This window comes from Homo sapiens, chromosome 1 (assembly GCF_000001405.40).
Source record: "Homo sapiens chromosome 1, GRCh38.p14 Primary Assembly".
Lineage (NCBI taxonomy): Eukaryota > Metazoa > Chordata > Mammalia > Primates > Hominidae > Homo > Homo sapiens.
In genome coordinates this window covers 9,262,559-9,271,950 of record NC_000001.11, presented here as the reverse complement: position 1 = coordinate 9,271,950, position 9,392 = coordinate 9,262,559, and the positions used below count along the sequence as shown (strand labels likewise).

At 55.8% G+C, this 9,392-nt stretch overlaps 1 protein-coding gene across 9 annotated transcripts in view; it reads right to left on the bottom strand.

The window, feature by feature from the left end:
* The window catches only part of H6PD (hexose-6-phosphate dehydrogenase/glucose 1-dehydrogenase), a 36,564-nt gene continuing 27,785 nt past the window's right edge, over nucleotides 614–9,392 (bottom strand). For all 9 annotated transcript variants that reach the window (XM_047435002.1, NM_004285.4, XM_006711052.5 and 6 more), the window contains one exon: nucleotides 614–8,442. In XM_047435002.1, coding sequence (XP_047290958.1) covers nucleotides 7,082–8,442 — 1,361 coding nt within the window. In that variant the 3' untranslated portion in view covers nucleotides 614–7,081. The remainder of the gene's footprint in view (nucleotides 8,443–9,392) is intronic.

Sequence of the window (9,392 nt, the reverse complement as noted above, 5' to 3'; positions counted from 1 at the left end):
CTGCCATGGGGTCCCTGCCCAGAGCTCACCTATTTCGAATGTGTGCGCTGCTCCTTTTGCCACCTTGTGATGTCACCAAGCCTGTGTGGGTCCTGCATGCTGTTGGTGACAACCTGCAAATCTCTAACTTCTGTACCTCAAGTGGTCCTGAAATCCTATTTGACTTCCCCAAAACACTTACATTCCTGGGAGTGTGACACAGCTTGGAGGTAGGACTCAGGCAAGGGACAGGAGAGAAGACAAATGAAGGCATCAGGCTCTGGTGTCCTCAAAGACCCTCCCCTCCCGATCTCCCACTCAGGGGTGAGCTCCTTCCCCTCCAGTGGGCTGCCGGGAAGGTTGGGGGACTCTTCCTAGACTGCTTGGGAGTCTATGAAATGAGATCATCCTGCCCACTGCTCTCTCTCCCATGAGGCCCACAGACCCTCTTGCAAACGGAATGCACTGGCTTGCTCAGTCAGACACACTTACACTCGCAACAGGCACGCGGCTGTCCTCGGTTCAGGGCCCTCACTCACGGCAGCCCTCCCCTCCTCCAAGAACACACACAGCATGACGCTGGGGCCCACAAACCCCTACACCTCATGCCCCAAATAAAGAATTAAAGCCCGGATTTTGGCAAATCAATTTTATTGTTTAAAAAAATAAACGTTACATTTGACATAGAAAAAGACATTTTAAAAATGTTCTTAAAAGGTTTAAAAAGGCATTTGTTCTGGCCAGGCATGGTGGCTCCCGCCTGTAATCCCAGCACTTTGGGAGGCCAAGGCGGATGGATCACCTGAGGTCAGGAGTTCGAGACCAGCCTGGCCAACATGGTGAAACTCCGTCTCTACTAAAAACACAAAAATTTGCTGGGCATGGTGGTGTAATCCCAGCTACTCGGGAGGCTGAGGTAGGAGAATCACTTGAACCTGGGAGGCAAAGTTTGCAGTGAGCCGAGATCGCGCCACTGCACTCCAGCCTGGGCGTCAGAGCGAGACTCTGTCTCAAAAAAAAAAAAGCATTTGTTCTGAATGTGCCTCATCATCCCAGGCAGGCATCTGTAAGTTTCCATTGTTTCCACAAAAACCAGTGGGGTTCCCCTCTCTGGAAAAAAGCACGAACATTCTTGCTGCTTGGCAATGGGTGGCTCTCATGCCCACACCTCTCCACCCAAGGGAACAGTCTCTCTGCTCCTCACCTGGCAGAAGCCCAGACCCTGAGTCCCTAGCGCGGGGCAGAGCACAGAAACATGATCCAGATGCAGCAGGCCCCGCCCGTCTAGTTCTCCTGCAACAGCCTCTTAGCACTGCTCCACTCTGACCTGCCCGGCTGGAATCACAGTTCCCACTCCGGCACAGGTAAAGATGAGCTCCCAGGATCCAGCAGGGGCTCTGCCCCTGGGGATCTGCCGCCAGCCGGCTCTTCCCGGTGGACAGAACTAGGAGGGGCAGGCTGTACCCAGCACATCTCAGAGAGATGGAGGCAAGCTGGGTTCCTGATGATTTCCAGCTAATACAGGTCCTTCCTCCTGCATGCAGGCGCCCCGTAACGCTTTATAACAGACGCCTCTAGACTTCTGTGGGGGTAAAGTGAAGGACCCAAAGCGACACAAGTAGTGTCTGTTCACACTTCCACTTTCAAAGCTAACTACTAGCTGTTCAAATATACTCCATACAGCTTTCAGCAAATCAAAGTGTTTACCTCTCCCACACCAAGGGAAGAAAAGATGCAGACTGCCTTTAAAGCACCTGTCAGCAAGGCGAGGGTTTTAAAGATCAGCCTTGAGAATCAAAGCAGCAGCAGAAGTGTCATTACTCCAGTGCTCTCCCTTCCCGTTCGTGGGTCACACAGAGACAGGCACATCCCCAGCGCTTTGCAAACAGAAGCGCTCCCAAAAGTTGGCTAGAGGGTACACTTCGGCAAAGGGATCATCTTCCCCCTGGCTTGCTGGACTCTTGGAAATGCGTCTGAAAGCCCTTGCCATCCCGTCTTGTGCTGATGACAGCATGAGCCCGGTTGCACCTTGCTCAGCAACAAGCTGCGAGATCCTCAGCTTCTCACTCATACCCCACCTTGAGCTGCTGACGGCGGCCTGGAGAACCGTGTGTGGCTGTTCCTGGATGACATCTGCTGTCACTAGCCTTCCCAGAACACCCGCTGCCCAGGGTTCCTGCTGCCTTCCCCGGTGGACAGATTTTGCAGGGAAGACTGAGGAAATGGGAGGGGGAGCTCTGCTCTAAAGCAGAAGGCACAGAAGGTGGGGTTTTTGTTTTATAGGGAGACTGCCCAGTGTGCTGCAAAAGGAAAACCAACAACAGGGAGTGCCCAACTCACCCCCTCTGCATGAGCAAATGCAGATGGACACTGGACTGTGCCGACTGACACCGGGACTCACACTTGCTGGTCAGTGGACGAGAGGTAAAAGCAGGCAGGATTATTACAGGAATAAATCTGCACTTCCAAAGAGGCAGCTCCCATGACTGAGTTACAATGCTTGGAGCCCCCGAGGGCAGAGTGGCACCAGCTGGGAGGTTGACACTGCATCACTGCTTCGGATGCCCTCACAGGCTCTGACTCGCTGCCAGGTGCTGGTGAGGCTGGAAGAACTTCCTTCCTTCCTATGTACAATGCAAACAGTGCCGCTTCCAGTGCTACCCACACGGGTGCAGCCTCACGGGAGAGTTGCGGAGAGAGGGAATGCGTTCAGTTCAGCCAGCGGACGGCCAGGGGTAAGCGGCCCCTAGTGGGTCACATGGCCTATGATGTCTGGAGACCGCAGATCTTCACCCTCTGGAGTCTCATTTGCAGAGTCTCATTTGTCGTCCGGTCACTGTGGCCACCTCACCCTCGTCACCACGGGCCTTTCCTGTGCCGTGCTCACTCTGACACTGAGATGCTGCCAGGCAGTTTTTTTTTTTTAAATCAGTGGAGTAAGTTCTAAGGGAGCCCCATGTGCTTAAGATAAAAACGTAGCTGGTAAAGTGGAGGCAGAGGCTGCTTCTGTGAGGCTGCATATATCTTACAGGACAAAAAGTTTTGTACTTGAAAACCAAATTCTGGGAAATAGCCCTGCAGGTTTTTGGGAAGCGTCTCCCTCCCTGTCGTGAGTTCCACCTGGGCCCTCCGGGAGAACAGGGACAGGAGAAACACAAGCAAAGCAGACAGGCCCGGAATTGGGAGCCTGAGCCCTGCATATTTTGGAAGGGAACCCCTCGAGGGACTAGTCTGGAATAGTAGGCCAAACGGTAGGAAGCTTTGATTACTCTGCTAACTTGGGGGCCCAAGAGTAGGGCTAAAGCATTGTCTGCAGAGAAACAAACAGGGAAATTCAGTAAGAAGGGCCTATTTTAACTTGCAGTTAGCAGGAGAATTTGTCCCCAGATTTTGATCTAGCTTAAAGTCCCTTGATTCCTTCCCCTCTACAAATGGCAATCACGGTTGCCCTAGAGATGCTGACTGACAAGGTCTCCCAAAGGAGGGGCCCTTCTGCCATTTATGGGCCCCTAAGTGCACACGTGGGCTTCCATGCGGATGGAATCATTGGTCCCCACCAGGGAACCTGGACTGTGGGAGCTGCCGCCACCATAGGACCCAAGGGCTTCCAGACCAGGAAGAGGCAAACAGCCTGCCTGGGAACACAGTGCTGGAACTTGGGACTTGGGTTCTGAGCGGGGCTGCTCCCTGGGCTGTTGTCATCACTCTTTCCTTTTTTTTTTTTTTTTTTTTTGAGATAGGGTCTCACTCTGTTTTCCAGGCTAGAGAGCAATAGTGCAATCACACCTTACTGCAGCCTCAGTCTCCTGGGCTCAGGTGATCCTCCCACCTCAGACTCCCGAGTAGCTGGGACCACAGGAGGGCACCACCATACCTGGTTTTAAAACTTTTTGTAGAGATGGGGTCTCACTATGTTGCCCAGGCTGGTTTCAACCTTCTGGGCTCAAGTGATCCTCTCACCTCAGCCTCCCATAGTGCTGGGATTACAGGCATGAGCCACACCTAGCCCAATTTAGTGAATTTTAAGAAGCATTTTAAAAAAATGAAAACTAAAACATAGAGGATATCCGAGGTTCTAAGGTTAAGAATTTCTTTATGAAACCTGCTTGGAACACAGTTGTAAACAAATGGACTGATTTATGATGGAAGGCACGTTTCTTGCTGCAGATCATGGTCTGAAGTTTGAAAGCCACCAGCCTAGAGGGTTCTGAAAACTTCTCCTTCCTAACACAGCTGAAGGAAAAGGGGTGGGTAGGGGCGGAGGCACAGGGACATCTCCAGGTTTGGACTTTTCCAACATGATTTGCAGAAGGCACTTGATTCTGGAAAGTAGACCTTTGGCATTTCGACCCTCACCCACACTCCCACACCCACTCTGCACAGATCGGTGGTGCATCCGAGGCAGGGCTGAGTTAGAACAGGACATCCTAGACTCGGCGGCAGTGACTATTATTCAGAAATGGCACATCAAGGGCCGGCCTGCCCTTCATCCTGCAGGGGTACTTGGGCATGTGGAGGCCCCTTTCTCCCTGGTGTTGCAACTGGAGAGGAGTCGGTTCCTGAAGAACAGATGGGAGAGTGCTGGGGCCAGGTACCCTGGGAGAGAGGAGGGAAATGAAATCCGGCACAGGGGCTGCGGGGATAGGGGCAGTCAGGAGGCGGCAGTGCGGTGCAAGGGCCCCCCCACGCGGCCAGCTGTGGAACTTCCACCACGACTCCCTGTCCTCTCCTGAGCCCGCCCATCACGTGTAGAAGCTCAGATGCTGGGCGCCAGGAGGGCGGCTTCCTGGCTCTGGGCACCGTGGTTCTGTCCTAACGAGGGGCGCTCTCTGGGTGTAAAAACAGATGTTCTGGCTGGGCGCGGTGGCTCACGCCTGTAATCCCAGCACTTTGGGAGGCTGAGGTGGGTAGACTGCCTGAGCTCAGGAGTTCGAGACCAGCCTGGGCAACATGGTGAAACCCTGTCTCTACTAAAATACAAAAATTAGACAGGCATGCTGGCCGGCGCCTGTAGTCGCAGCTACTCGGGAGGCTTAGGCACGAGAATTGCCTGAACCCGGGAGGTGGAGGTTGTAGTGAGCCAAGATCTCGCCACTGGGCTCCAGCCTGGGCGACAGAGACTCTGTCTCAAAAAAAAAAAAAAGAGATGCTCTGTCTGGCCTGGGTTGTTGTTGGTGGCCAGAGTAAGTGGTGTGAACAAGAGCCCCGGCTTGGGAACATGTCTCAGACTGGCATTGAAAATGAAAGCCAGGATTCCTCTAAATCCACCGCCTTGAAGTGTAAACAGTCCAGAGAGAAACCGACTTTGCCATGCTCCCTCACCCAAGAAAGCCCTCTCTCAAAATGCGCTAGAAAGTTTATATCTGCCTGATCCAGAGAGCAAGTGGAAGGTGCGGAGAAGCCAGACAGAAAAATCGACCTTAACCAAGAGTTCCATCTCCCAGCCTTAAGTTGTGGGATACTGAACAAACAAAACTACACATGTCCTGGGAATTTTGCTTTGTGGTGTTTTTAAAAAGAATGTCAGAGCCCTCCTTGGGGGCTTCAGAAAAGCAGGTATTGCTGGCCCATGGCTTCTCAAGATCACAGTCCCCAACCTATGCTCACTGAGAAGATACCCGCTTACTTCCCCAGTCTCAGGCAGAGAGTTCGTGGTGAAGTGATAAGTAGCAGGAGAGGCCAGCAGACAGGAAGCCACGGGGTCACCAAGGGGCAGGGAGAGAAGGCCTGGCTGCGGCCCCGTCACCCGCCAAGCGAGCCCCTGAAAAGGCTGTGGGCAGCCCCCCTGCCAGTGAGGCCTAGCTCCTGTCTGGTGGGAGCAGAGCCGCCTGGATGGCCCAGTGTCACTCGATGCTCCATCTCTCTCCCCGCTAATGAGCTGTCACCTCAGTGGGTGATTTAACTGGATCTTTCCTGGTAAAACAAGAGGGGCTATTGAGAGCGGAAACACCCATCCGGGAGTCCCCTGAGATGGAAATGACCCTCTTAAATTGGGGATCTCTGGAATGTCCTGATTATCTGCACCCAGTGTGCTTCCTGGAGGAAGGCTAGCAGGACAGAGGAGCAGCGGAGGGCAGGGGTCCTCCCTGAGGAAGTTGGGGGAATGAGACCCCACCTCCCCACGCAGAGCAAGTCATCAAATGAGAAATGGAGCTCCAAACAGCACTGAGATTTCTGGGGCTGGGCGCAGTAGCTCACACCTGTAATCCCAGCACTCTGGGAGGCTGAGATGGGAGGATCGCTTGAGCCCAGGAGTTTGAGACCAGCCTGGGCAACATAGCAAGAGCTCATCTCTGCAAATATTTTTTTTAATTAAAAAAGAAAAAAGATTTCTGGAACCCTTTCCACAGTCTAGTCTTTGCCACTGTATTCCTGTTATCAGCCCTCATTCTCTATAAATGGAGTCTGAAGAACAGCAAAGACACAGGGAGGAGCCTGGAATTCCTACTGCACAGCCAGGATGGAGGAGACAGGGATGGCAAGCGGGAGCAGGTGGAGGCAGTGAAGAGGAGGGCCAGAGGCTAGATGTGCAGAGGTTCTAGAAGGAGGGGCAGCTGGGGAAGGAGGGGCTTGACCCCCTCAGGGTCTCAAGACAGTCCCCAATGCCCCTGCTTTGCACGGGGCAATGTACTCCCCTGGGCGCCTCTGCACCCTTCTGTCTACCAATCATGCTCTGAATGTTCCCCGGGAGCCAGTTCAAGGATCACCTCCCCCAGGAAACCTTCCCTGATTAACCTCAGCCCACCACGTCACGTCTCCTCTTGTGAACGCCGGAGTTTGGGCGCCATCCCGTGTTGTGCTGGTTGATATGAATGTGTAACTGCTGGAGGTCTTTTCTTAAGACTTCTCTCCTGGCCTGAATTTGAAGCTTCTCAGGAGCAGACTCCATTTCTTCCTTGTTTCTGCATCTATCCACCAATACACAGAGCTGCCGGTCAAAGGCATCGGGACAAGGCTTGTCCTGCCCTCTCTGGGGCCTGACTGTGGGATAGAAGGTTCTGGAGAGCCAGGGCACGCTGGGCAGGTGGCGGGGCCGAGAAGGGAGGGAAGACACGGGCGAAGGAAAGCACAGGAGCGAAGCGGGCAAGGGGCACAGGCGCCCTCATCCCAGGAAGGCGTCGTAGTCCATGTACCACACCAGCTGGCCGGAGTGCGGCAGGACACCCGAGATGGGCCACTTCTTGGGCTCATGGCCCACCCGGCTCACCAGCGTGGTGATCTCACGCTTCATCCTGCCCATGACCAGGACTGCCACCTTCTTGGCGCGGTTGATGAGAGGCAGGCTAAGGCTCATGCGGCGGTGTGGCTGGGAGGGGCTCGTGGTCAGCACGACCAGCTGCTCGCCATCCAGGCCAGTGGGTGACTGTGGGAAGAGGGAGGCTGTGTGCCCGTCGGCACCCATGCCCAGCAGCACCAGGTCGAAGCTGCTGTTGGCCACCAGGGCTGAGATCTCCCTGGCATAGATCTGGGCGCCCTGGTCCTCCTCGGCGCAGAGCCGCTGCTGCAGGTGCACAGGCATGGGGTGGATGTTGTAGTAGGGGATCCGGACGTGCTGCAGCAGGTGGGCCTGCAGGCCCTGGAAGTTGGACTCCGGGTCTGAGAGTGGGACGCAGCGCTCGTCAACCAGCCACAGGTGCGTGTGGGCCCAGGGGAAGCCATAGTGCGCCGTGGCCAGCTGCTGGAACAGGGCCACGGGGCTCGAGCCCCCCGACAGTGCCAGGTGGAACTGGCCAAAGCGCCGCACGGCTCGCACAGCGGTGGCCTCGATGTCATTAGCCAGCTTAGAGATCAGCTCCTCGGACCAGGCGGAGACCAGCGGGCTCTCTCGGTACTTGGCCCTGAGGACCTGGAAGTCACTGGGCATTGGGGCCGGCCCTGGCCCTGGCACCAGCTGCTCCGGCTGCTGCTGGGAAAAGAACAACCGGCCGCTACTGAACTCAAAGTCCAACAGACGGCCATTCTCAGCTCCTCCAGGGTAGAGGCGTGGGGCCTTATGGGCCAGGCTCTCCAGCAGAGGGGTCCAGAAGTTCCAGGAGGCCAGCAAGTTCTCTGTGGTGATGAAGAAATTCTTCCGGCCATGGAAGATATGGGATAAGAGGACGGAGTGGGCGTCCCGCTCCCGCACAGGGCTGTAGGCGTAGTAATCGGACAGAGGGCTGCCGAAAAGGCGGAGCCCAGGTGGTCCCTCCATTTCCTTCCAGCTGGAGGGCAGGGAGGGCCTGAACAGGTTCCTGCTGACCAGCACGGCAGGGCTGCCCAGGTCGCCATGGCCGATGTGGAAGACGAGCTGCCGGGGCAGGCACTGGCTCTGCGCCGCGGCCCAGTGCTTTTCGCTCTGCACACAGCAGGCCTGGTTCTTGAACAAGATCCGAGCGTAGCCCACTCTCTCGTCCAAGGCTTTGCCAGACATCAGGATGAAAGGCACGCCCTCCCAGCGAAGGTTGTCAATGTGCACTAGGACGGCTGGGGTGAGGGAACAGCAGAGGGTGACTCTCTGGCACAGACCAGGACTCTCCGGCCAGCCCTCTCCTCTCCTTGCCGGCTCCTCTGGGCGTCCCCCTGCCTCAGGGAAGCCCCTCGCCTTGCCATGCTCACCCCTCGCCTGGCATCTCTTCCATGACCTTCTCTTCCCAGTCCATGCTTGAAAACCGGCCTCTGGGGCTATCTCTATGGCTTTGACACCTGCCTTCATTGAGGCCCCTCTTAGAGTTATGGTCCCCCAGGAAAGGAGAACCGGGCTGAGAGCATCCAACCTGGAGACTCTAAAGGACGCCCCACAGTGGGGGCAAGTGGGGTGGGGGACCCTGACTCTTAGGTATTTGAGGGGTCAGGGGGTCCTACAGAGAAACGTGCTTCCCTCCTGCTTGTGAAGCATTCAGGATGCACCCGACGCAGGGTCAGAGGTGCGGGGTGAGGAGAGAGTCACCAAGCAGAGGCCCGTGGGTGGGGTGTTGGCAAGGAGGGACAAGGCCTGGTGGCAAGAGCCAGGGGCTGACAGTATTCCATGCCCAAGTTCCAAGCCTGGTTCATTCTGACGACTTCACCGAGCCTTACGTTTCCTCACCTGTAAAACGGGGCTAATGGCCCCTGCCTCGTGGTTGGTGCGTGAGGCTTGTATGAGAGGCATCTATAAAGCACCTGGCATACGGCGCGTGCTCAACAGGCAGCTGTGGCTCTTACTGCCTGGCTGCTACCTGGTGAGGAGCCAGCCTCTCCCAGAAAGCCCTGGGTCTCTGGAACTGCCCAGAGGACAGCCCTGGCATGGCACTTGGCCGCTGGAAGTGTCTCCAGCTGTGGCCAGGCAAAAGGCTTGCGGCCTCACTGGGGAGACCCTATGAGGCAGGAACCAGGTCTGTCTGAGCCTCGCACGACAAACCCTTGGGAAGCATCTGGGACTGAACTGGGGCTGACAC